At 48.0% G+C, this 27,302-nt stretch overlaps 1 protein-coding gene and 1 long non-coding RNA gene across 2 annotated transcripts, besides 3 other annotated features; one reads left to right on the top strand and one right to left on the bottom strand.

Moving 5' to 3' along the window:
* On the top strand, positions 270-7,960 carry R3HDML-AS1 (R3HDML antisense RNA 1). The gene is made up of 4 exons (NR_184036.1): positions 270-493; positions 3,562-3,644; positions 4,656-4,892; positions 7,694-7,960. It is a non-coding gene; the product is annotated as a R3HDML antisense RNA 1 (long non-coding RNA).
* Positions 1,982-2,481: an enhancer, noted in NCBI's record as "H3K4me1 hESC enhancer chr20:42981671-42982170 (GRCh37/hg19 assembly coordinates)". NCBI's record gives its function as "activates a minimal SCP1, AML or CMV promoter by ChIP-STARR-seq in primed H9 embryonic stem cells {active_cell/tissue: H9 hESC(primed)}" and the evidence as "EXISTENCE:reporter gene assay evidence [ECO:0000049][PMID:30033119]".
* Positions 4,274-18,469, bottom strand: R3HDML (R3H domain containing like). The gene is made up of 5 exons (NM_178491.4): positions 18,094-18,469; positions 14,198-14,316; positions 12,003-12,135; positions 10,134-10,249; positions 4,274-4,852 (listed from the first exon to the last, which is right to left on the bottom strand). Exons 1-5 carry the CDS (start codon positions 18,352-18,354, stop codon positions 4,720-4,722), a joined length of 762 nt encoding a protein of 253 aa, NP_848586.1. The 5' UTR covers positions 18,355-18,469; the 3' UTR covers positions 4,274-4,719.
* Positions 18,798-19,787: an enhancer, noted in NCBI's record as "H3K4me1 hESC enhancer chr20:42964365-42965354 (GRCh37/hg19 assembly coordinates)". NCBI's record gives its function as "activates a minimal SCP1, AML or CMV promoter by ChIP-STARR-seq in naive H9 embryonic stem cells {active_cell/tissue: H9 hESC(naive)}" and the evidence as "EXISTENCE:reporter gene assay evidence [ECO:0000049][PMID:30033119]".
* Positions 21,042-21,553: an enhancer, noted in NCBI's record as "H3K4me1 hESC enhancer chr20:42962599-42963110 (GRCh37/hg19 assembly coordinates)". NCBI's record gives its function as "activates a minimal SCP1, AML or CMV promoter by ChIP-STARR-seq in primed H9 embryonic stem cells {active_cell/tissue: H9 hESC(primed)}" and the evidence as "EXISTENCE:reporter gene assay evidence [ECO:0000049][PMID:30033119]".

Below are 27,302 nucleotides of genomic sequence, written 5' to 3'. Positions count from 1 at the left end.
ACCCAGAGCCAGGTGTATGGGGACATCAGCCCCCCAATTTGAGGACAGGGCCGGAGCAGAAGGGGCTGGAGAGGTGAGAGTCCAACCTGGGTTGGGTTTTATGGCTCCAAACTATGGGTGTGTCACCATGCAGGAAGTAGTGGGAAAACCGAGGGAGGGGCAGAGGAAAAAAGGAGGGTGGAGAACTGTGTTTAGTGAGTGCCTACTGGATGCTGGGAGTTGCATACAGGCGTTACCATATTTAAATTAAACCTTGAGATGAAGGGACTGAAGGACAGAGAGAAATTGCATGCCTGGAGTCTCACTGCTAGTACATAGAGGTGTTATCTTCCTTTCATCTAACATATTTATTGAGCACCTACTATGTACCAGGCCTTGTGCTAGACTCTGGGGATATGGAAATGAGCAAAGTAGATGTACCCCCGAAACTTGTGGACTAATGGAGGAGACGGACCTTAATCAGATCGTCATTCAAAGATACTATTACAAACTGGTGAGTGATATGAGGGGTGGAGAAACATGGGGCTGCCTCCAGGCCAATGGGACAAAGTCATCCTGTCTGGCGTCTCCTCTGGTCTCCTTCCCCATTCTAAATTCAACCTGCTGCTGAAACTCACACACTCTGTTTTAGCTCCCTGGCATGTTAGACACCTGCCACCTAGCTTTTTTTTTGGAACAGCCCCGTTTCTTTTGTCTCAGTTTTGGATCTCACCACCTGCTTGGGGATTCTGAAATCAAGGTCATTCATCCTGTTAGAGAGAGCTGAAATGAGAACAGTGAAACAAATTCTGGACTCAGAAAAATCAGAAAACTCCAGCTCTATTATTTTCTTGCTGTATGTTTTTTAGTAAATTATTTCATTTCCTTATAGGAATACCTAGCTCATAGTTTGCCCTGCTTCTAAAATAGCTAATTGATAATATTCCTCTTCTCTTCCCATAGTCTCTTTTTTCAGCTTTATCAATCACCTCAGAGGGACCTTCAGCCCCTACAGATGGGCATGGGTTGCATTAAAATGTCCTTTCTTTTCTAAAACAACAGTGATAACAAACGTTAGATTTTGGGGCCGGGTGCAGTGGCTCACGCCTGTAACCCCAGCATTTTGGGAGGCCGAGGCGCACCGATCACGAGGTCAGGAGTTTGAGGCCAGCCTGACCAACATGGTGAAACCCCGTCTCTACCAAAAATAAAAAAATTAGCCGGGCATGGTGGCAAACGGGAGGCTGAGGCAAGAGAATCGTTTGAACCAGGGGGACAGAGGTTGCAGTGAGCCAAGATCGTGCCACTGCACTCCAGCCTGGGCAACAGAGAGAGACTCCATCTCAAAATAAATAAATAAATAAATAAATAAATAAATAAATAAATAACTTCGATATTTTTTAAAAAAAAGTATTAATATTCTTGGTCGGGTGTAGTGGCTCATGCCTGTAATCCCAGCAGTTTGGGAGGCTGAGGCAGGTGGATCACTTGAGGTCAGGAGTTTGAGACCAGGCTGGCCAACACGGTGTAATCCCATCTCTACTAAAAATACAAAAATTAGCTGGGTGTGGCAGCGAGCACCTGTAATCTCAGCTACTCGGGAGGCTGAAGGAGGAGAATCGTTTCAACCTAGGAGGCAAATGTTGCAGTGAGCCAAGATTGCACTACTGCACTGCAGCCTTGGCGACAGAGCCAGACTCCATCTCAGAAAAAAAAAAAGTATTAATATTTTTATATGGGGGTGGGGGAGGTTTGCTAACCCTATGTCAATTTCCCAAAATGTTCTGGAGATTTAAGTGGTACGTAACCCCCTGCATGAAGTGGCGTCATGAGGTCACATAACTACGAAGGAGCCAACACAGAACTGGAATTCAGCATCATCTGACCCCAAAGCCCGTGCTATTTCAACAGGTCTCACATTGCCTTCCTGAGCACCAGGATAATGAGGATGACAACCACTGGCATTTATGAACTCTTTAGTTTGTCAGCATTGTATATTCTTAACGTCATTGAATTGTCACTGTCAATATTCCCATTTTACAGATGTAAAAACTGGGATTCAAGAAGTTTCATTAAATCTGTTCTTTTTTTTTTTTTTTTTTTTCTGAGACAGAGTTTTGCTCTTGTTGTCCAGGCTGGAGTGCAATGGCGCCATCTCGGCTCACTTTAACCTCCGCCTCCTGGGTTCAAGCGATTCTCCTTCCTCAGCCTCCCAAGTAGCTGGGATTACAGGCACACAGCACCACGCCTGGCTAATTTTGTATTTTTAGTAGAGACGGGGTTTCACCATGTTGGTCAGGCTGGTCTGGAACTCCTGAACTCAGGTGATCCACCTTCCTTGGCCTCCCAAAGTGCTGGGATTACAGGTATGAGCCACTGTGCCAGGGAAGAGACAAGCCAAAAGTGCCACTGTAAGGTGGGAATTCCACGTGATCTCTTCGGTTTTCCATTTCTGATACTGCCTTCGAGAGCCCATTCCAAAAAATAAAGTAGGAAAGATATAGTCTAAGAACAATGAACTCACAACAGTGTCCTTAATTCTCTCTCTCTTTTTTTTTTTTTTTTTGAGACACAGACTTGCTGTGTCACCCAGGCTGGAGTGCAGTGGTGCAGTCTTGGCTCACCGCAACCTTCACTTCCTGGGTTCAAGCAATTCTGGTGTCTCAGCCTCCTGAGTAGCTGGGATTACAGGCGTGCCCCACCATGCTTGGCTAATTTTTGTAATTTTAGTAGAGACAGGGTTTCACTGTGTTGCCCAGACTGGTCTTGAACTCCTGGCCTCAAGCTATCTGCCGCCTTGGCCTCCCAAAGTGCTGGGATTACAGGCATGAGCCACCACGCCCAACCTCTTAATTCTCTTATTTCACTCATTTCCAGCATTTGGAAGCTAGTACTCACCCCATGCCTCATTTATCTCATCTGTAAAGTGGAGCAATAGTATACGTGCATGCACTTGTGCATTGATCTAGCCTTCTGCAGAGCGGGGCCCAAAGCGCTGTTAGTTCCTTCCCCTGGTCTTCCAGTTGAGCTGGTTTTCCTCTCACCCATCTTCCCCCACCCAGTTCCCATTCCTTGTGTTTTGACCCTCTTGGGAGCCAAGAGAGGGAGGGACCAGAAAGAGCCACTACACTGGATCTCAAAAGACTTTATTGGGGGTGGAATGGGAGGGGGTGACATGCACAGGATGAGAAAATTCATTCCATCCAGGACAACGTAGGGACTCCATGGAAAAGGGCCTGTTTTCCATCCCGGGTCTTCAAAGGAAAAGCTCTCCAGCCAGGCAGGGAGTGGGCCCCAGCTGCAGGGCAAGGTCTGAGGGAGGAGATTTTACTATCTCTGGAGACAAAAGGACTTTTGTGTGCTATGATCCCTGGGTGGGATGGTGGGGGGAGAGGGGAAATGGTTTATTGGAATGAGAGTAAGATTATATGGGAGAAAAAGAATCAGAGATGCAGAGACCAAAACAAAAACAGGCAGAGATAGAACGGACAGTAGACAAAAGAGAGAGAGACCGAGGCAGAGATAGAGAAAAAAAGGCCCAGAGAGAGTCCCCTCAGGCCAACTTTGGTTTTCACTTCTCAGTTCTGAGAGCCGAGGAAGCAGGAAGGAGCTGTGAGAGACTGAGCTCTAACCTTGGCCATCAAAGACAAGCTGTGCAGCTCTGGGTAAGTTACACCCTGCTCTGAGCCTCAGTGTACCCATCTGTAAAAAGGGGGGCCTGGACTCTGTCGTGGCTCCAGTACCATGCAGTGGGGGTGGGGGGGCGGATGTCCACAAGCCAATTTCAATGTTTTTCAAAATCATGGGCCTGAAATGTGCCCAACTCAGGGAGCGAATCACGAGTCCTCAAAGACTGCCCAGAAACTGGTTGACTGTTATGAGACGAATGAAAGCGGGTTTCCTTTCTTTCTTTCTTTTTTTTTTTTTTTTTAGAGACAGAGTCTCACTCTGTCCTCAGGCTGGAATGCAGTCGCTGGATCTCTGTTCACTGCAACCTCCGCCTCCTAGGTTCAAGCGATTCTCCTGCCTCAGCCTCCCGAGTAGCTGCGATTATAGGCGCGAGCCACCACTCCTGGCTAATTTTTGTATTTTTAGTAGAGACAGAGTTTCACCATGTTGGCCAGGCTGGTCTCGAACTGTTGACCTCAGGTGATCCACCTGCCTCAGCCTCCCAAAGTGCTGGGATTACCGGTGTGAGCCGCCGCACCCAGTGGAATTCCTTTCATTGGATGGACAAAGTCATTTGGGTTTGACAAAGCCTGAGAGTTACAAAACCGAGGTGCCAGGTTTTTTATTTGTTTGTTTGTTTGTTTCTAAATAGAGATGGGGTATCGCCAGGCTTTCCAGGCTGTTCTCCAACTCCAGGACTCAAGTGATTCTCCCACCTCAGCCTCCCAAAATACTGGGATTATAGGTGTGAGCCATTATGCCTGGTCCCAAGGTGCCAGTTCTATGCCTTCCAGCCTTGGTTCTCTGAGAACCGAATTAATGAAAGATGCAGGGCTCTTTCCCAGAGGCCCAAGAAAAGAAAGATGCAACTAGGAAAGAAGGAAGGCAAGGAGGTCATTTTCTTTTGACCCATGTTGGACATTTAAGAAGGGGATCTAGGAGGGAAAATTCAACAGGGGGTGATTCTAACTCATATCCTTTAAAGAAACAATTATTTCTCCACCCAGTTTTTTGAGGGCAGGACATGGAGGGTCAGGCCCAGCTGGAGGCGCACCAAAGCCCAGAGAAAATTCAGAACCACGTGAACTTGTTGGATTTCAGCCCCTTGAAGCACATGTTGCTATTGCAGCTGCCTTGATAACTGGGGGGACAGGAGGAGCACGGCTTTCCCATCTTGTACGGGGACTCGCCAATCCAGTTGCCCCTGGAAGAGAAAAGGACCCAGGGAGACAGAGGAGCATTAGGTGAGTAACCTTCACACAGATGTCCAGATCTCAGCGCTGCCACTGACCAGCCCTGGGGACCTGGGGCAAGTCACATCTGCAAGCCTTGGTTTCTTTTTTTTCTTTCCTTTATTTATTTATTTATTTATTTTGTTTTGCTCTGTCACCCATAGCTCACTGCAGCCTTGACGTCCTGGGCTCAAGCAATCCTCCCAACTCAGCTCAGTCTTCTGAGTAGCTAAGACTACAGGCACATGCTACCATGCCCAGCTAATTTTTTATTTATTTGCAGAGATGGGGGGTCTCCCTATACTGCTCAGGCTGGTCTCAAACTTCTGGACTCAAGCAGTCCTCCTGCCTCAGCCTCCCAAAGTGCTGAGATTACAGTCATGAGCCACTGTGCCCAACCTGTAAGCCTTGGTTTCTCCTGTAAAACCAAGAGAAGAGCCTCCTCTCTCTCTAAGGAATTCAGCAAAGATCACATGTATGTATGCACCTAGCACTGTGCCTAGTTAATTAGTGGCTCCCTTGTAAGGGTTGATTTTCTTATTCTTTTTGTTTGTTTTGTTCTGAGAGGGAGTCTCGCTCTGTCACCCAGTCTGGAATGCAATGGTGCGATCTTGGCTCACTGCAGCCTCCGCCTCCTGGGTTCAAGCAATTCTCGTGCCTCAGCCTCCTGAGTAGCTGGGATTATAGGCATGTGCCACCACACCTGGCTAATTTTTGTATTTTTAGTACAGACAGGGTTTCACCATGTTGGCCAGGCTGGTCTCGAACTCCTGACCTCAAGTGATCTGCCCACCTTGGCCTCCCAAAGTGCTGGAATTACAGACGTGAGCCACCGCGCCCAGCCTTTTTCTCCCTCTTTCTCCTTTCAAAGCCTAAAATTGTTCCTCCAGCTCTTGCTCATGGCTGCCTAATAATCTCACCACTGGCCTGTGGCATTCTTTGCCAAGCCCCAGTGCCTTGTTTTCTCACCTTAAATGAACACACCTTTGAGCAGAAATATAATCTTTTTTCTCCAAACGTGATTGTTGAGTGACCATGAGTGAAATCAGCTGAAGTGCTCAGAAAAATACTCACTTCTGGTTTCCTAACAGGACTCATTCAATCATTTAGTCATTCAACAAACACTTCTGGAGCACCTATTGAACATCAGGATTTGTGCCGGCTGCTGTCAGTCCACAGTTCTCAAAAGGTGCTCTCAGAAGTTTGGGGGCGGGGAGAGTGGGTGGTGGTGATACCTGGGATGACATGGAGTTCTTTTTTTGTTTAATTTAACCACTTAGAAAAAAGTTCTGCTTAAAAAAACAAAGGATTGCAATCACTATAGTAGAAGGATATAGAAATGAAAACGGTCGATTTCCCATGCCCAAGAGTTTATAACTTGGTTCTAGTCATGGCCACCATTTATTTAGCATGTACTATGGGCAAGGCACCACAGAGGCTATTTTTATTTTATTTTATTTTATTTTATTTTATTTTATTTTATTTATTTTATTTTATTTTACTTTGAGATAGAGTCTCGCATTGTCGCCCAGGCTAGAGTGCAGTGGCATGATCTCAGGTCACTGCAGACTCCGCCTCCCGGGTTCAAGCGATTCTCCTGCCTCAGGGACGCACCTCCATGCCCGACTAATTTTTGTGCTTTTAGTAGAGATGGGATTTCACTATGTTGGCCAGGCTGGTCTCGACCTCCTGACCTCAGGTGATCCACTTGCCTCGGCCTCTCAGAGTGCTGGGATTACAGGCGTGAGCCACCACACCTGGCCTCACATTATATTTTAATCCTTAAATTCTGTGAGCAGGTAGCATTTACCTTAAAGGGGCTGGGCTTGGTGGCTCGTGCCTGTAGTCCCAGCACTTTGGGAGACTGAGGTGGGCAGATTGCTTGAGCCCAGGAGTTCCAGACTAGCCTGGGCAACATGGCGAGACCCCCGTCTCTACAAAAAACAAAAACAAAAAACAAAACATAAGCCAGGTGTGGTGGTGAACGCCTGTAGTCCCAGCTACTGGGGAGGCTGTGGTGTGAGGATTGCTCGAACCAGGAACGTGGAGGTTGCAGAGCTGAGATTCTGCCACTGCACTCCAGCCTGGGTGACAGAGCTGGACAGAAGAAAAGAAAGGAAAGGAAAGGAAAGGAAAGGAAAGGAAAGGAGAAAGGGAAAAGGAGAAAGGGGAAAAGGGAAAGGAAAAAGGGAAAAGGAAAGGGGAAGGAAAGAAAGGAAGGGGAAGGGGAAGGCCGAAGCCTGTCAAGATAAAATGATGTATTCAAATGCTTAGTAGATGCATTGCAGAGGGGAATCAAACCTAGGCCTGGTAATAACAATAGTAACCAATCTGTATTTCCCACTTATGAGCCTGGGGGCATTACCTGTGTTATCTCACTCAATTCCAAGATTGGGTATTATTTTATTCCCATTTTGCAGATGAAGAAACAGGAGTAGAGAAGTTAAGTAAGATCACACATTTGAACCCTGGTAGTCTTGGCCCCAGAGGCTAAAAATCTTAACAACTATACTGATAACACTCAATGCTTCAAACATTTGATATGTCAACAAACAAACTAGAAAACTTGAGCCTGGGAGGTTGAGGCTGCCGTGAGCTGTGACCATGCCACTGTACTTCCGAGCCTAGGTAACACAGCAAGACCCTGCCTCCAAAAAAAAAAAAAAAAAAAAAAAAATTAGACGCTATTTGTAATGAAATTTGGTTTCTTGTATTTTTCTGTCTCTGATAAAGCTGGGCTGTAACGTGACACATTGTCAATAGATGCCATTTCTAACAAATAACAAGTATCCTGTTTTGAGAATTTGTTTCAGGCTACTAATGACTTCAAGAACATCAGAATAATACAATAGAAAGAATTTGGAATTTGGAATCAAAAGACTGATTCTTCTGAACCAGCTCTACTACTTGTTGGCTTTGTGACATTTGGTAAATTACTCAACCTGCCTGAGCCTCAATTTCTTAATTTGTAAAAAGAATGTCCTCCTAGGGTTCCCCCCTTTTTCCTTCTTTCTTTCATCTCTTCAATGAGATAGTGTGAAAGTAGTTTGTAAATGATTAAAGGCTATGTGACAGTAAAATGTGGTTATTATATAATTTTGGAATTCTAGGGCAGGCACGGTGGGTGGCTCACACCTATAATCCCAGCACTTTGGGAGTCCAAGTAGGGAGATTGCTTGAGGCCAGGAGTTCAAGACCAGCCTAGGCAACATAATGAGCCCCCCATCTCTACAAAAATGTTAAAAATTAGCCAGGTGTAATGGTGCATGCCTGTACTCCCAGCTACTCAGGAGGGTGAGGCGGGAGGATTGCTTGAACCCAGGAGTTGGAGGCTGCAGTGAGCTATGATCTGGCTATTGCACTCCAGCCTGGGCGACAGAGCAAGACCTCGTCCCCCCCCAAAAAAAAAAGAAAAAAGAAAAAAAGAAATTCTAAATATCATGTTTACTTAGAATTTGTTCTTGTTTTGTTTTTGTTGTTGTTGTTGTTTGAGACGGAGTCTTGCTCTGTTGCCCAGGCTGGAATGCAGTGGTGTGATCTCAGCTCGCTGCAACCTCCACTTCTGAGGCTCAAGCGATTCTCCTGCCTCAGCCTCCCAAGTAGCTGGGATTACAGGCACGCGCCACCATGCCCAGCTAATTTTGGTATTTTTGGTAGACACGAGGTTTTGCCATGTTGGCCAGGCTGGTCTCAAACTCCTAACCTCAGGTGATTCACTCGCCTCAGCCCCCCAAAGTGCTGGGATTGCAGGTGTAAGACACTGCTCCTGGCCTGTTCTTGTTTTTCTATGAGAATCTGGAACGTCTGCAAGTTTCATTACGCTTGCTCCCTGTTTCCAAGAGGCTTGTATGCAGGCATCTCCTAAACTCTCCCACCCAGCAAACTGGAGAAGCTAAGCACACTCATTCCTCCTTCCTTTTCTTTGGGATCTGCCTGCCTGCAGGGAGCATGTGTTCTTGGCTGTATTTTTCTTGTCGTAAGCTTAGAGGGCTGGCACTGTACTTCTAAGAAGGGGCCTTTGGCTATCCAGTGTTACCTGCCACTGGATGTGTAGGTCTAATTCAGTAGTGAGATATTTGTAAGCCTAGTTGGCTGGTGTATTGGCAGATGTAAGCCACATTCTCCACTACTGACTTCAGCAACACTGTCTTTCCACCTGTGTCAATCCTGTCTATTTCCCAGTGATTCTCAAACTTGGGTAAAGGAAAAGGATTATTGGGCTGGGTAGGGTGGCTCACGCCTGTAATCCCAGCACTTTGGGAGACCTTGGAAGGAGGACTGCTTGAGCCTAGGAGTTCAAGACCAGCCTGGGCAACATAGTGAGACACCGTCTCTACAAAAAATTAGCGAGGCATGGTGGCATTCACCTGTAGTCCCAGCTACTTGAGAGGCTGAAGTGAGGAGGGTTACTTGAGCCCAGCCAGTCGAGGCTGTAGTGAGCTGTGATTGTGCCACTGTACTCCAGCCTGGGCAACAGAGGGAGACCTTGTCTCAAAAAAAGAAGAGAAAATAGGCCAGGCGCAGTGGCTCACTCCTGTAATCCCAGCACTTTGGGAGGCCGATGCGGGCAGATCACCTGAGGTTAGGGGTTTGAGACCAGTCTGGCCAACATGGCGAAACCTTGTCTCTAGTAAAAATACAACAATTAGCTGGGCGTGGTGGCAGACGCCTGTAATCCCAGCTACTCGGGAGGCTGAGGCAGGAAAATTGCTTGAACCTGGGAAGTGGAGGCTGCAGCGAGCTGAGATCATGCCACTGCATTCCAGCCTGGCTGAGAGAGCAAGGCCTCTTCTCAAAAAAAAGAAAGAAAGAAAGAAAAAATGGATTATTAATTGACTTTTTTTTTGAGACAGTTTCTCACTCATGAGTGAGCATGATAATGGCTCACTGCAGCCTCAACCTCCTGGGCTCAAGTGACCCTCCCGCCTCACCCCTCCCCCAGTATCTAGGACTACAGATGATCACCATGACACTCAGCTAATTTTTTTTTTTAAGAGTTGGGGTCTTGCTTTGTTCCCCAGGCTGATCTTGAACTCCTGGGCTCAAGGGATCTGCCCACCTTGGCTTCCCAAAGTGCTGGGATTTCAGGCGTGAGCCACCATGCTCGGCCTTAGTAAACTCTTAAAACTACCCAAATTATATGGTATTGAGGGCACTTAGAATGAAGAAGGGATATGGAGCGTATCTTTCTTTGAATTCTCAGGACCCACCCGCCGGCCCCAGGGCCCTCTTTGCCTTGGTGCAGGCACTTACTTAATGGCATAGTTGCAGACCAGGTATGCCGCCCGATGCCAGGTGTTGCCCCAGACACTGATGCTACTACAGGTGTGGATGGCACAGCCCAGCCGATTGGAGGATGCCCACACCATCTGGTGAAGGACAGAGACAGAGGGGGCTATGAGAAGGGCTCAGTGGGACCCAGGCTCCCTGGGGTTGTACAGTTGCATTAGGTGAGGTCTTCCTGGGAGAGACAGTCTGCCTGTTCCAAGGTGTTGGGGGAGGAAACGGAGGCATTTATATTGTAACATGATGTTTCTCAATGTTTTCTTTTTATTACAACCAACAGTAAGGAATAATTTTTATATTGTTACAGGTGTACAAACAGACACACACATACACACAATTTGAACAAGAGTTTTACAAATCACTAGCCTTATCATGTTATCATGTGTGATATATTTTCTTTCTTTCATTTCATACTGCACTCAGTCAAGTGCAGTCGCGAGAAGGAAGTTGGATCTGTAACTGACTGTAAACAATCAATTGAGAGAACTCACTACCTTCAGACTAGCCAATATATTTTCTTTTTTTTTTTGACAGTCACTAATGTTTTTATTTATTTATTTATTTGGAGACAGAGTCTCGCGGTCTCCCAGGCTAGAGTGCAGTGGTGGTATCTTGGCTCACTGCAACCTCTGCCTCCCAGGTTCAAGTGATTCTCCTGCCTCAGCCTCCCGAGTAGCTGGGATTACAGGCAACCACCAGCATACCTAGCTAATTTTTTGGATTTTTAGTAGAGATGGGGTTTCATCATGTTGGCCAGGCTGGTCTTGAACTCCTGACCTCAGGTGATCTGCCCACCTTGGCTTCCCAAAGTGCTACGATTACAGGCATGAGCCACTGCACCTGGCCAGCCAATATATTTTCTATACTTTTCTATTCATTTCCTTTTTAAATTATTATTATTTTTAGAGAGGTGGGTCTCACTGTCACCCAGGCTGGAGTGCAGTGGTGGGATCATAGCTCACCACAACCTCAACCTCCTGGGCTCAAGCAATCCTCCTGCCTCAGCCTCCCACGTAGCTGGGACTAAAGGTGTGCACCACCAAGCTTCACTTTTTTTTTTTTTTTGAGACGGAGTCTCGTTCTGTTGCCCAGGCTGGAGTGCAGTAGTGCAATCTCGGCTCACTGCAACATCTGCCTCCTGGGTTCAAGTGATTGTCCTGCCTCAGCCTCCCGAGTAGCTGAGATTATAGGCACATGCCACCAAGCCTGGCTAATTTTTTGTATTTTCAGTAGAGACGGGGTCTCACCGTGTTAGCCAGGATGGTCTTGATCTCCTGATCTCGTGATCCACCCCCTTGGCCTCCCAAAGTGCTGGGATTACAGGCGTGAGCCACCTTGCATGGCCACACCTCACTATTTTTAGAAAGGTTTTTAGAAATGAGGTCTTTCTCTGTTGCCTAGGCTGCTCTCAAACTCCTGTGTTCAGGAAATCCTGCCATCTCAGCCTCTCAAGTTACTGAGATTACAAGCGTGAGCCACTGCACCCAGTCATTTTCTTTCTTTATATATATATAACTTTTAATTTTTTGCGGGGGGGACAGAGTTTCACTTGAACCTGGGAGGTAGAGGTTACAGTGAGCCGAGATCTCACCACTACACTCCAGCCTCGGCAACAGAGTGAGACTCTGTCTCAAAAAACAAACAAACAAAAAACAAAAACAAAAAAGATTCACCTCAATTCATTGTGCACACAACTTTCCAGGAATATGCCTCTTTGGTGAAAAGAAGCTCATAACGGTCTTTGTTTGCATTCTTATTTCTGCTCCACACATTCCTTTTCTTCTAAGGCGCCAGGATGTGTTATCCCAGGGGCCCTCAGCCCTGACGGAGGAGTACCTGGGTATAATGGGAGCAGGTGGGGCCATCGCAGCGCCAGGGGCAGTGTGGGTTACAGTCCCTTGGGGCCGGAAACAAGTAATGCCACTTCTCCTCAGACCAGGACTTCATGAGATCCACTACGGACCGGTACCTGGGGAGGCGGGGGACACGGAAGAAGCTGGGTGAGAGGATGGAAAAGTGGCTCGGCCGCCAACTTGCTGGTGACCTTGGGTGATCACTTTGCTTCCTTTCCCCCATCTCAGTTTCCTATCTGTGAGCATGAGGGCAGTGGCCCTGCCTCACAGGCATGTTCTGAACCCATGTGAAGTGCCTCCCTGTACCTGGCAAGTGGTAAGTCCTCAAAAAAGGATACGTGTTACTGTTATACAGAGGGCCGGGCAGGAGGTGCATCTCAGACGGGGGAGCTTGCATTTTTAGGAAAGGAAGGGCTCCTCGGATGATCTCCTAGGCCTCTGAGATGTGAGGAGAAGGCAGATACTGGTGTGTCACCCAGAGATAACCTCTGTAGTCTGAAAAGCCATCTGGGAGGACCTGAGGGCTTTTTCTTTTTTTTGAGATGGAGTCTCGCTCTGTTGCCCAGGCTGGAGTGCAGCAGTGTGATCTCAGCTCACTACAGCTTCTGCCTTCTGGGTTCAAGCAATTCTTGTGCCTCAGCCTCCCAAGTAGCTGGGACTGCAGGTATGCACCTGCATACGCCTGGCTAATTTTTGTATTTTTAGTACAGATGAGGTTTCACTATGTTGGCCAGGCTGGTCTCGAACTCCTGACCTTAGGTGATCCGCTCGCTTCTGCCTCCCAAAGTGCTGGGATTACAAGCATGAGCCACCGCACCCGGCCTCTGAGGGCTTTTTCTATTACACATATTTGACAGGGGCACAAATATATAAAAATATACATAAATGACTAAAGAGGGAGAAAATCTGGAAGAATGCACATTCATAATTTACGACAGCACAGCTTCGTGTCTAACACTGCTTTCTTTCTCTCTGTGAGCCTCTCAAATGGTGGCCATGGGTAGGGGTGGAGTCTGGCAGGAAGAGTTCAGCAGCGGGGGAGAGGGAAAGTGAAATGGAGGCAGGACTGAATCACCCGATGTCTGCTCTGTAGGGCTCTGAGTGACCATTCACGGCTCTCAGAGGCTGGTGCTGGTTGTGACCAGTGAAGGACATGAAAAAACACAGACAGGGCCCTGAATTTCCACTGAGCTCACTTGAAGGGACTGGCCTTAATTCTTTCCCACTCTCCCCGGGGTGATGGCAGAATGGCGAGGATGGGAAGGTAGTTGTTTTTCTGACATCCTTATTTGGCAAAATAAAAATCTGACAATTGTGTGGCAGTCTCACAGATTTCTTTTTGCAATTTTATAGGCCTGTGAAATCCACAAGTCTGGAAAGAACTGAGCTAGGCTAACAACTTTGTTTTACAAACAGGGACACCAAGGTTTAGAAAGTGGAAATAACTTCCCAAGGCTACCCAGATCAGAAGGTCCCCGGAATCTGACTTGACAGTCAGAATGGCGGTGAGAAGGTCAGGCCAGAAGGGTGGGTTTGCCATTCTCAGACTTATCTTTATTTTATTTTATCCCCTTATCTTTATTTTATTTTATTGACATTATTATTTTTGAGACACAGTCTCACTCTGTCACTCAGGCTAGAGTGCAGTGGCGCAACCTCAGCTCACCACAACCTCCACCTCCCAGGTTCAAGTGATTCTCCTGCCTCAGCCTCCCGAGTACTTGGGATTACAGGCATGCGCCACCACACTGGGCTAATTTTTGTATTTTTGGTAGAGACGGGGTTTCACCATGCTGTCCAGACTGGTCTTGAACTACTGACCTGAAGTGATCTGCCCACCTCAGCCTCCCAAAGTGCTGGGATTACAGGTGTAAGCCACCGTGCCCGGCCCCCTTATCCTATTTTCTTAGTCTTCCAATCCCTCCTCACTTTCCACCACAATCTGTGCACTTGTTTGTTCTCAAACCAAACAAGACTTGCCTCAATTCAATGTATACACAACTTTGTTAGGGTTTTGCCTGCCCCTTCTAACTAGAATGCAGGCTCCCTGCAGGTGGAGAGCTTGTCTGCCTTGCTCGCCACTGTATCCCAGTGTCAAGTGCAGCACCTGGTACAGAGTAAGTGTTCAATGAGTATTTGTTGAATGACTGAGTGAAGGAAGGGCAGAGGGTCACTCACTGGCCAGAATGGATGGAGAGGTTCTGGCCCACGTATCTCATCAGCTGTGAAGGCCCATGTGCCCAGATGCACTGGGTGGCCCAGGCTTCGGCAGCCCTGGCCAGCCGCTTGTCCCAGACCTGGGGAAAGAAAGGCAATGAAATTCCCCAGGGGAATTGCCACCATCGTCACAACTGTGTCCAGAGATGCACATTTACCTGGTGCCGTTTCTACCCCATCTCCCTGGAACCCTGCAACAAACCCACGTGACAAAGTAGAAGACTGAGGCTCAGCTCGCTGATGACTTGAAGGGCAACCATGAGTCCATACCAGAGCTGGGGTCCACACCCAGATCTCTTGACTCTGAGCTTGGGCTCTGCTCTGAGCAGGTCCCAGGGTGTTCGTACAGGAGTTCTCAGCAGTCCCTAGAAGTGACTGAACCCAGAAGGATGAGAAAATAACTAATTCTTAAATTGTACTTATAGTATTTTCTTTTTCTTTCTTTCTTTTTTTCTTTTCTTTTCTTTTTTGAGACAGGATCTCACTCTGTCACCCAAGCTGGAGTGCAGTGGTGCGATCGCAGCTCACTGCAACCTCTGCCTCCTGGTACAGTGGGAGGTGGTGAGGTGAGAGGCGATCCTCCCACCTCAGCCTCCTGAGTAGCTGGGACTGCAGGCGCATGCCACCACACCTGGCTAATTTTTGTAGAGACAGGGTTTTGCCATGTTGCCCAGGCTAGTCTCCAACTCCTGGCCTCAAACAATTCACCTGCCTCAGCATCCCAAAGTGCTGGGATTACAGGGCACTTCGGGAGGCTGAAGCAGGTGGATCGCACCCGGCCTTGTAGTATTTTCTAAATGTGTTTATTTTAACATTGAAAATGGTTAAGTCAAAAGCTTTTTTAAATCGTGAAAATATGCATAATTTTAATATGTAAGATATCCGCTTGGGCACAGTGGTTCACGCCTGTAATCTCAGCACTTTTGGGAGGCTGAGGCAGGCAGATCACTTGAGGTCAGGAGTTCGAGACCATCCTGGCCAACATGGAGAAACCCCCTCTCTACTAAAAATACAAAAATTAGGCCAGGCATGGTGGCTCACATCTGTAATCCCAGCACTTTGGGAGGCCGAGGTGGGCGGATCACCTGAGGTCAGGAGGTCGAGACTAACCTGGCCAACATGGTGAAACCCTGTCTCTACTAAAAATATAAAAATTAGCCGGGTGTGGTGGCGGGCACCTATAATCCCAGCTATTCGGGAGGCTGAGGCAGGAGAATCGCTTGAACCTGGGAGACCGAGGTTGCAGTGAGCTGAGTCCATATCATTGTACTCCATCCTGGGCAACAACAGTGAAACTCTGTCTTCAAAAATAATAATGATAATACAAAAATTAGTCAGGCATGGTGGTGTGTACCTGTGGTCCCAGCTACTTGGGAGGCTGAGGCACGAGAATTGCTTGAACTCAGGAGGCAGAGGTTGTAGTGAGCCGAGATCGTGCCACTGCACTCCAGCTTGGGCAACAGAGGGAGATTCCGTGTCAACAACAACAAAAATAGATAACCAAGGAGGAACAGTAGAAAGTCTCATCTCTCTCCTATACTTCTCCCCCAACCCCACCACCCTGCACACCGTCCCAAGAGGCAGTCACCACTGCTTCTTGTGTCCTCTGTATACAGGTATATATTCTATACCTGTACAAGCAGCTCTCTATATATACACACACACACAGACACACACACACACACACACACACACATATATATAGGCAAATGGCAGCATATTCTATTCTGCACCTTGCTCTTTTGTCTTAGTGATTATTCCCCATCACTACATGGTGAATGCCCTCCTCATCCTCCTTAACAGTTTTGTAATTTTCCAATGTATGAATTCTCCAAGTTTTATAACCAGAAAATATGTCATTAAAATACTAGTTCCCTTCCATCTCTGACTTCCTGGGATTCTCTGAAATAGGATTTGTTCATTCATCAAATATCAAACAACATCTCTAGGCACTGAGGACTCAGGGTAGCAAGGCAACAAGGCCTTCAACAAGTCATTGATTATTACAGTCCTGGTCGGTGTGAGAGTGAGAAATGGGAGCCAAACTTTCTTGCGGCAGTGAGAGAAGGGCTGCTAGGGCAAAGGCTGTCGAGTTGGACAGCCTGTTCTGTGAGTAGAAGTCAGCTAGGGAGGGAGAAATGGGGCATCCAAAGAGGGGTCCAGGTATCTACCAGGGTTGTCTGGCCCAATATTTTTTTTTTTTTTTTTTTTTTAGATAGAGTTTCACTCTTGTCATCCAGGCTGGCTGGATCTCGGCTCACTGCAACCTCGGCCTCCCAGGTTCAAGCGATTCTCCTGCCTCCACCTCTCAAGTAGCTTGGGATTACAGGCGCTCATCACCACACCCAGCTAATTTTTGTATTTTTAGTACAGACTGGGTTTCACCATGTTGGCCAGGCTGGTCTGGAACTCCTGACCTCAGGTGATTCACCCACCTCGGCCTCCCAAAGTGCTGGGATTACTGGCGTGAGCCACTGCGCCCGGCTCTCTGGCTCAGTCTTTTAGGGAGAGCAGAGGAGTGCTTCCCTCATGCTACAAAGGGGTAAAGTGAGGGAAGGAGCAGGCTAAACATCAAACCTACATGTTCAGGCCCTCCCTGGAGTCCCTGGTGAGATATTGAACCCTCTCTGCTCCATGCCGCCTGCAATCATTAAACACCTGTTGGGGCAGGTGCCACACACGCACAACGGGTGCTCAATAAATGTGCCATTTGTTTGAAAAATGGAGGGCATTCTAGGTGCTAACGAATGAATGAACAAGTCAATGACTCCCCTGCACTCTAGCTGCCTGCCATCCCGGCTCTTATTCCCGCCCCTCCCAACACTGTATTGCCTCCTCACGTTATCTTATGTACATTAATATCTTGTTGTTCATGCTTGTTTTCTCTTATTCCCACTAAAATGTCACCTTCGTGAAGGAAGGGGCCTTGTCTATTCTGTTACCAGCAGTATCCACAAGGCTTAGCACGGTGCCTGGCTGCAAGTGTACTCCAAGTATAAGTCAATGGATACGATGAAAAAGTTAAGTTTTCAGGCTATCGAGTGGCATGTGTTGGTCTTTCAGGGGGCAGACTGGCAAACTCTTTCCCTAAAGACATCTCTGGGTGGGCTGGAAACCCATCCCTCTAGGCTGGTTTTGGACAGTGGCCCTGGGGGAGGAGCTGTAAGCAAAAGGTTGGTGCCCTCCTTTGACTTCTTGGGGGCTGGAGTGAGAGCCACCAGCCCTGCCTCTTTGAGGGGAGACATCCCAGCTTCCTCTGCTGGTCAGCTGTTGGTTTTCCTCAGCCTGAGATTCCCCAGTACCTGTCCCCACTGCTCCAAGCCTGCCTCCAGGGGCTTGTGGAGGATGCTGTGGGTGTGTCAGTCAAGACCTTAGGGTAAAGAGACAATAGCATAGAAAGCACCAGCCACGCACCCCATGCAGGTCCCCAGTGTGGGGAGCCAAAATTCTTGGGTAGGGGATTGTGATGGTTACAGTTGTGATGGTGCCAGGTGGCAGCAGGCAGACCTGGATTGAAATCCTGGCTGGGCAAATTAATTCTCTGAGTCTCAGTTTCTTCCTCTGGAAAATGGAGATGATACTCACGTGCAGTGCCTGGCGCACAGTGGTGCTCCTTACATAGTAGTCACATGCCTGACTCACTGGAACAGCTGTGCAACCTTCTTGGTTTCCTCATCTGTAAAATGGGCAGATTAACTCCTGCCCTTTCCACAGGTCGACACCCAGATACTGGCTAGTGGGGCCAGGCAGGCAAGTGGTCCAGCTCTTCAAAGCCAGTCATTCTAGGCCAAGATGAGTCCGGCTGCGTTTGCCGGAAGGGACACTGCGGGGGGTGGGGGGCAGGTACGGGGACTCACCATGTATTCCATGTTGGCGGCAGGTGGGTACACACTGGCCCGGATGTGGTTGTGATAATCCAGTAAGGCATTCATGTCTCTCACAGAGATGTGGCGCTTCCGGCGGTACCTGGGCACCTCCAGGCCACTCAGGAGCCGCATAGCCGTGCTCTCGGGCTGGGCCGGGGCTGGGGTAGCATTAGGCATTATCAAGGCGTTCACTGCCTGGCCAGCCCAGAAGAGCAGGCCTGCCAGGCCCACGGTGCTGGGCAGCAGGGGCATAGCTGGATGGAGGAGTCACAGGTCTGCCTTGTGCAATCAGAGCCGGCTGCCTGGAAGGGGCAGGCACGAGAGCACCAGACCCTGAGCGTTCTCCAACAGTGCCGACCCAGAGGATGCTGCCTCCTGGGAACTTGGCAAAGACCTCCAGATGCAGCTCTGGTCCAGATGCCCAGCACCCCTTCCTTTCCACCCCAGGGGACTGAGTGGGTTGGGCAAGGGGAAGAAATGCCCAGACAGTGGCTAATCCAGACATGGCCCTGGGGTGAGATGGTGCCACCACTTCAAAGCCAGTGCTCTGTCCCTCCAGCCCAGGAGACAGACAGCAGCCCTCTCCAGTCTAGACATCCTCTTCACCAATCCTGCTGGAGCGGGCTCAGTCAATGCCCTCGGAGGGCAGGGCCCACCTTACCCCAAGTCATATTGCAAGGTCCTTTTGTCCCTGCTTTGCTGCAATTTAGGAATTGAGAATGAGACACAGAGAAAACCCAATGGCAGAGAATGAAAGAGGCAGAGAAAAAAGAGAGACCAAAAAGGGGACAGAAAAAAAGAGTTACAGAGAAAAAAGAATGAGAAATAGAAAGGTAAAGAGATAAGAGAGAATGAGAGAGAGGCAACAATGTGGCTGGGGGAGGACAGAAATAGACAGAGAGAGGGGCACAAACAGAAGAAAGAGCGAAAAATCGACTTAGAGAAGAGACAGAGAAGCACGAGAGACCAGGCAGGAGGCTCCAACGGTGCGTACCCAGGACGGGCAGCCCAAGCGGTGGCAGGCGGCAGCCCAGGAGGCCGGGGACCTCTGCAGACACCCTGGCCCACCTGGCGGCGCAGCAACTTTAACGGTCCCCTGGTGCTGTTGGCATCTGACGTCCCTGGCCCCACAGCCCCCTCCCCTTCCAGCCAGGCCAGACTCCTGCAGGGAGGCTCCGCCTGCTGCTTGATGGGCTTTTCTCTCCCGCCCCTCTCTCTCTGCTTTCACCTGAAGCATGTAGGGCTGGGCTGGGCAAATGGTCAGGGTAGTGATGTGGCAACAGGGCAGGGATTCCAGGAAAAAATACTCATCCCCTATGGGAGATCCCAGACCCCGAGGCTTCTCTCTGCCTTCCACATCCTGACATATTAAGGCCACCTTGCATCTGGAGAGTATTTTCTGACTGTTTTCCCTATAACACCCTCCAGCCTTGGAGCAGACAGTTAATATGGCCCATCTAGTGAGCCCCTGCTATGTGCCAGGCCCAGGGCTGAGTGCTTTACACAAAAGCCCAGCCAACCTTCAGAAGCAGGTACTATAGCTCCCCATTTCATAGATGAGGAAACTGAGCCCCAGAGAGGAGAAAGAACAAGCCCAAAGTCAAGCCAGCCAGTCTGCAATCACGCCAGGATTTAAGTCCAGATCTGACCCCAGGCCTGGTTAGTATCTAAAAGGATGCCTTTTCCTTTTCCTTTCCTTTTTTTTTTCTTTCTGTTTTTTGTCTCACTTTGTCGCCCAGGCTGGAGTGCAGTGGCGCAATCTCGGCTCACTGCAACCTCGATTCTCCTGCCTCAGCCTCCTAAGTAGCTGGGGCTACAGGTGCACACCACCACACCTGGCTAATTTTTGTATTTTTTAGTAGGGATGGGGTTTCACCATATTGGACAGGCTGTCTTTCTTTTTTTTTCTTTTGAGACAGAGTCTCGCTCTGTCGTCCAGGCTGGAGTGCAGTGGCACAATCTCGGCTCACTGCAACCTCCACCTCCCAGGCTCAGGTGATCCTCCCATCTCAGCCTCCTGAATAGCTGGGGCCACGGGCACGCACCACCATACTTGGCTAATTTTTTTGTATCAGCCAAAGATGCCATTTTCTAACCAAACCAAATATAGATGCATAAGGAAAAAAGCCTAGGGTGATGTTCGTTATGATGCCACTCAAACACAGCCTATTCATTAGCAAATGAATTAAGCCCACAAATCTGGGTTCAAATTTCCCTTATCCCACCCCCTCACTAACTAGGTGTTGGGCACGTTACTCAACCATTGTGTGCCTCATCTGTAAAATGGGAGAAATAGCGGTGCCTACCTTGTAGCATTACTGCGAAGATGAAATGAGTGAACATTTGTGGAGCCTTAGTACAGTGGCTGGCACACTGTGTGCACTCTAGGAATGTGTGTGTGAATGTGTTTGTGTGTACGTGTGTACTTGTGAGAGTATGTATGCACTTGTGTATGTGTGTGCAAGTATACTTACATGTGTGTGTGTTTGAGTGTTCTTGAGTCAAATGTGTCCCCAGGTGAATGTATGAGTATGTAGATAATGGACGTGTGTGCGTGTGTGTGTGTGTGTGTGTGTGTGTTTAAAGTCTCAGTCTCTGAGTTGCTGAAGTCCTAGGTTAAGAAAGAGTTCAATTTTCTCCTCTTTCATTACTTGTATTCCCCAAAAATAAAATGCATTACTTTTGTAATAGAAGGGGATAGACTTACAACAGAAAGGTGTTATATAAAAAACACAGGTGAAGAATTTGCAATCCTCAGACTACTCTTCTAGCAAGCTCTGAGGATTCCCAGGCTGAACCTAGTCTCGGGGCAGCAGGCCAAACCCTGGGCCAGCTGGCGAAGCAGGGCTGGGGGCTGGGACTGGGCTACTCCAGACGGGTCCTCTCCAGACATGTGGAATTCCCACCACAGGCAGCCCAGACAGTGCGGCTGCCAAAGCACACACCTTCCTGCTGGAGCAGTGACCTTCCTGCTGGATGCTGGGGAAGGTGGGGAGGGCAGAGCAGTGAGGGGTGAGGGCTGCGACCCCTGACCCCTATGGGGGCTCTCCCACTATGCCAGAAGGACAAGAGAGACTCGTTCGATCTAGCCCCGTCTCTGCCTCCAGTGTGCTGGGTGTCTTAAGGCAAGTTCTTATCCTTCTTTGGGCCTTGGATGCCCCACTGAAGAAACTGAACTGAAATTGCTGCCCCCACTGAAGAAGGCTGTTCCCAGTTTCTCTTTGATAGGTTCCCAATTCTGGCTCTTCGGACAACAACAGGTGGGATCTTCGATACACCAGGGCAAATTCTGCAGCCCAGGGAAGGCAGACACAAACAGCCATGGCACTTAGGAACCCAGGAGTGTCAACAAGTAAGCCCGGCTCTCTCAGAACGCATAGCACAAGCCACTCCTATGTAACTGGCACTTTGCACTGGCTCAGAACTTCACATCCTCAATTCACTTGGGCCTCACAGCTCCCTTTGGGGTAGTGACTCCACCCATTGTATAGATGAAGGAACCGAGGCACACGTGAGCCTCAGTGACTTGTCCTAGGGATGGAGACTGTTTGTGTGGTAACCTGGGTCCTGGCAGTGAACGTCCTTGCACATGTGCAGAAGGCGCAGGCATCTGCTGTACACACAACACATGTATGTGCACACACACACACACGTTTGTGCACACACTCATATAAGCACATCCCCTCCCACAAATCACAGAGAGCTCGTCCCCGCCAGGCCCTCATATCCTCTCCATTGTACACCACAGGTGTCCTGTATAAATATACAGAAACCCACAGGTTACACACTTAAGCATGTCTACTACATATAAGCTGATGGTATTAGCTACTTTCTCATAAGTGGCCAGCACTGTTTTAAGCACATTACATGGGCAATCTCATTTAATCTTCAGAATAACCCTATTATTATCATCATCCACATTTTTATATACATGAAGAAACTAAGGCACAAAGAGGTGAGTCATTTGCCCCGGGTCACACATCCTGTGGGTGGGAGAGGTGGGACAGGCACCCCCATACTGCCTCTCCACAGTGTTGAGAGACAGACAACGAGGAAGACCCCACAGTCCAGCCACACAGACAAGACCACCATCGCCTACTCCACACACTCATGCATCCACAGAAACACAGAAATTCACTCTCGTAGCAAACACACAGCCACATCCCAGTCAGACCCTCTCTGCTGCCCCCATTGAAGAAAGCTGGTCCCAGTTGCATTTTGGCAGGTTTTCAATGGGTAAAATATTAGGGGTGGGGTCAGGAAATAATCAGGGGTGACCCAAATTATTTTTATTTATTTATTTTTATTTTATTTTATTTTGAGATAGAGTTTCACTCTTGTTGCCTAGGCTGGAGTGCCGTGGCACAATCTCATCTCACTGAAACTTCTGCCTCCCAGGTTCAAGCAATTCTCCTTCCTCAGCTCCCAAGTAGCTGGGATTACAGGCACCCACAACCGTGGCCTGGCTAATTTTTGTATTTTTAGTAGAGATGGGGTTTCACCATGTTGGCCAGGCTGGTCTCAAACTCCCTCCCAAAGTGTTGGAATTACAGGTGTGAGCCACTGCGCCTGGCCTATTTGTATTTTTATTTTAGTTTTGAGACAGGGTCTTGCTCTGTTGGCCAGGCTGGGGTGCAGTGGCACGATTATGACTGAGTGCAGCCTCGATCTCCCAGGTTCAAATGATCCTGTCGCCTCAGCTTCCCCAAGCAGCTGGGACTATAGGCACGTGCTACCATGCGGCTGATTTTTAAAATGTTTAGTGGAGACAAGGTCTCACTATGTTGACTAGGCTGGTCTGGAACTCCTAAGCTCAAGCAATCCTCTTACCTTGGCCTCCCGAAGTTCTGGGATTACCTGTGTAGGCCACTGCACTTGGGCCAGCTCAAGTTAATGCCCTGGACATTTATCTCGCGTTAGGGTAAGAACGTCTTTCTCACCCTTGGATTTGACCAACTGAATTCAGCTACTGCTCCATCCTCACCCCTACTGGAATTCTCTCTGGGCTTGGACAAGCAAAGAGAACATTCTTCCAGAAAGTAGTAGTATTTGAGACAGTGCAGCTTGGTGGGTGATAGAGCAGGCTCTGCATCCAGATAGCCTGGGTTCATGGATCAATTCCATGGCTTTTTAGCTGTGTGACCATCAGCAATTTACTTAACCCTTCTGTGCCTCAGTTTCCTCATCTATAAGATGCAGCTATCTCATAGCATGGCTGTGAGGATTAAATGAGTTAGTACATCTTAAGACACTTGACACAATGCCTGGCACAGAGCAAACAGTCAATAAATAATGAATAATAATAGCTAATAACAATAACAGTCAACATTTCTGTAGCACATACCAGATGCCAGACACTAAATGTCTTAGGGACATGACTTCAGGTAAGCCTCATTCCAGTTTCACGGGTTGGGTTTCAGGATCCCCATTCTATAGACAAGGAAGTGGAAACTCAGAGAGGTTAAGTAACTTGCTCAAGTTCACACAGCTAGTTCCAGTGGAAACTAGATTCCAAGGCCAGGTCTCTCTGACTCTTACCCAGTGTTCTTTTCACCCAGTCAAGTTGTTTTTGGCTGGGTGCGGTAGCTCACGCCTGTAATCCAAGCATTTTGGGAGGCTGAGGCAGGTGGATCACTTGAGGCCAGGAGTTCAAGACCAGCCTGATCAACATGGCGAAACCCCATCTCTACCAAAAAATACAAGAAATTAGCTGGGCATGGTGGCGACGTCTGTAGTCCCAGCTACTCGGGAGGCTGAGGCACGAGAATTGCTTGAACCCAGGAGGCGGAGATTGCAATGAGCCGAGATTGTGCCACTGCACAACAGCCTGGGTAACAGAGCAAGACTCTGTCTCAAAACAAACAAAGAAAAAAGTTGTTTTTGAGAAGAGACTGTGGGGCAAGAGCCTGGTGCTTGAGAGAGGAGACTGAGAAAGCAGGAAGGCCCTTAGAGATGATCTAGGTCATGTACCCATTTGTCAGTTGAGGAAAGAGGTTCAGAGAGGTTAAGTGATTTGTCCAAAGTCACACAGGAACAGGTAGACTCAGGACTGCAACCCAGATCTATGTTACTCCAAATCCAAGCAGGAGGAGGGAGGAAGCCGGAGAGAAGGGTGTGTGAGTGGAAAAGAGCAGCGAGGATCCAGGCTCTGAGGAAACTCTTTTTTTTTTTTTTTTTGAGACAGAGTTTTGCTTTTGTTGCCCAGGCTGGAGTGCAATGGTGCGATCTCGGCTCACCACAACCTCCGCCTCACGGGTTCAAGCAATTCTCCTGCCTCAGCCTCCCGAGCAGCTGAGATTACAGGCATGCGCCCCACACCCGGGTAATTTTTTGTATTTTTAGTAGAGACAGGGTTTCTCCATGTTGGTCAGCTTGGTCTTGAACTCCTGACCTCAGGTGATCCATCTGCCTCGGGCTCCCAAAGTGCTGGGATTACAGGCATGAGCCAACATGCCCAGCCCTGCGGAAACTCTTAAAATTCAATGCCCCAGGTTCTTCAAAAGACAAACTGTAAGGAAACAAAGGGGATGGGAGGCAAATTACTATAGACTTAAAGGCTATACATTTGGGTGTAAAACTGTAAAGAAACAAAGAAATACTATAAAGGCAGGCTGGGGTGGGGCATTTAAGGAGAAAAAAAAAAAATATATATATATATATATATAATTTTTTGAGATGGAGTTTTGCTCTTTCTGCCCAGGCTGGAGTGCAATGACACTATCTCGGCTCACTGCAACCTCCTCTTCCCAGGTTCAAGCGATTCTTCTGCCTCAGCCTCCTGAGTAGCTGGGGTTACAGGTGCCCGCCACCATGCTCAGCTAATTTTTTGTATTTTTAGTAGAGACAGGGTTTCACCATGTCGGCCAGGCTGGTCTCAAACTCCTGAGCTCCTGTGATCCACCCGCCTCGGCACCCATCCCAGCACCTATCCTCCCAAAGTGCTGGGATTACAGGCGTGAGCCACTGCGCCCGGCAGGGCTTCTATTTCTTGATCTGGCCTGTGGTTACAAGCTGTTTACCTCATAATAACCTAGTAGGTTCCTTGTTTGTTTTATGTGACTTTCAATATTTGTGTTTTAATTAAAAATAAAAAGTTTTTTATTTTTTTAAAGAAAATAGCAACAGTAGCAATTTATACAGTGACACCTTCCATCTGTTACCCCTTAACCAAGCAGGAGAAATTTAACCTCCTTTTAACAGTTGAGGACACGGAGGTTCAAAGACAGAGGCAACTTGCCCAAAGTTATACAACAAATAAATCCCGGAGCTGGGACTCGACCCCCATAGCTTGATGAGTCTCCACAGCATAGCAGTGGTTGGGCTGCTGAGTCCCTGACCCAGCAAGGCGGGGTTGGAGAGGCCTCACAACAGATTCTGAGAAACCGACTTGGGGAATAAATCACACACAGAAGCATCTCTGAGCTCCAGGCTCTGTCTTCTGCTCTCTGCACTCAGAGAGCAGTGCCCCTCTTCTGCAGATCACCCCAAGGGAGGCAGGACCGTCTAATAAGCATGGACCAGAGCTGTGGATTCTGATAACTCTTGAGTGACCTGGAACAAGTCGTGGGCCTTCTCTGAGCATTTGCTCATCTGTAAAATGGGAACAATTAATAGGTGCTGGCCAGGCATGGTGGTTTACACCTATAATCCCAGCACTTTGGGAGGCCGAGGCGGGAGGATCACTTGAGCCTAAGAGATTGAGAGCAGCCTGGGCAACACTGTGAGACTCTATCTTAAAAAAAAAAAAAAGTACAAAAATTAGTCAGGCCTCGTGGTATGTGCCCATAGTTCTAGCTACTCAGGAGGCTGAAGAGGGAGGATTGCTTGAGCCCAGGAGGTTGAGGGTACAGTGAGCTGTGATCATGCCACTGCACTCCAGCCTGGGTGACAGAGGCCTGTCTCTAATAAATAAATAAATAAATAAACAGGTGCTAGCTGATTCGGCTATTAGGAGAAATTCAGTGAGATATGGAAAGTTTTTAGCACACAGAGCAAACTTAGTTCAATATCAGCTATTAACCTCGCCAAAGAGAAATGCTGTGTGATTCCATTGACAAGATACTCAAGAACAGGCAAACCTAACTTAGGGTAATGGAAGTCAGAACAGTGGCTGCTTTTGCGAGGAGTTGGGGGTTACTGGCTCAGAGGAGGCATGAGGGAGTTCCTACAGGGGTGTTTTACATGTTTTATATCTGTTTTTTTTTTTGTTTTGTTTTTAAGAGACGGGATTTTGCCATGTTGCCCAGGCTGGTATCTAACTCCTAGGCTCAAGCAATCCTCCTGCTTTGGCTTCCCAAAGTGCTGGGATTACAAGCATGAGCCACTGCTCCTAGCCGTTTGTTCAATTTAAAAGAGCACTTTCAACAGGTATAAAAGTAAAATTATATAGAAGAAAAAACACACACACCAACAGAAATATCCTGTTCTTGTCCCCCCAACACATACTTCCTACCCAATACACATAAATACCCTCCCCAATATAACCACTAGCCCCCCAACACTACACACATTGCTAATGACCTTGACACCAACGCAAATAGAAGCTACCTTCCAATAAAGCAGACACGCCTACACTCCACCTCAACCCCATCTATCTTTAAATAGAGATGCTTTTCCACTCTGGGTACATGGAAACATACCCTACCTGCAAACACACAGACACACACACAAACCAAACCCATGGACTGAATCGACTGAATAGGCAGATTCTTGAGCCAAACAGACATAGGTGGGATCTTGGCCCCACCTTTTCCTTACCATAGGACCAGAGCCAGTCATATCAACTCACGAGCCTCAGTTTCTTCATCTGTAAAATGGACCCAATAAGATCTTCTCTTACAAAATAAAATAAAGTAAAACAAAATAGGAAGAGTATAAATAAGCTCTTCGAAGGAAGGAGTTATGTCTAATTTGTATCGTCACTGACTCATGTCATCATTTTGGTAAACCTATGTGTTGTCAGTTTACTCCAGATTAATCTATGATTCGATACAATCCCAATCAAAATTCCAACAAGGTTTCTAGAGGAAGCTGGAGGGCTGATTCTAACCTTCCTGTAGAAGAACTACGGTTCAAGGATTTTCAAAACACTTCGTTCATGACAATGTTAGTAACAGGTGACGACTAAGCAGAAAACAGAAAAATAAGTGGAGGTCAGATGAAGAAAACCGGAAGCTGGAATGTGGAGGAGGGGGGAAGAT

This window comes from Homo sapiens, chromosome 20 (assembly GCF_000001405.40).
Source record: "Homo sapiens chromosome 20, GRCh38.p14 Primary Assembly".
Taxonomy (NCBI): Eukaryota; Metazoa; Chordata; class Mammalia; order Primates; family Hominidae; genus Homo; species Homo sapiens.
This window is presented reverse-complemented; position numbering and strand designations above follow the sequence as displayed.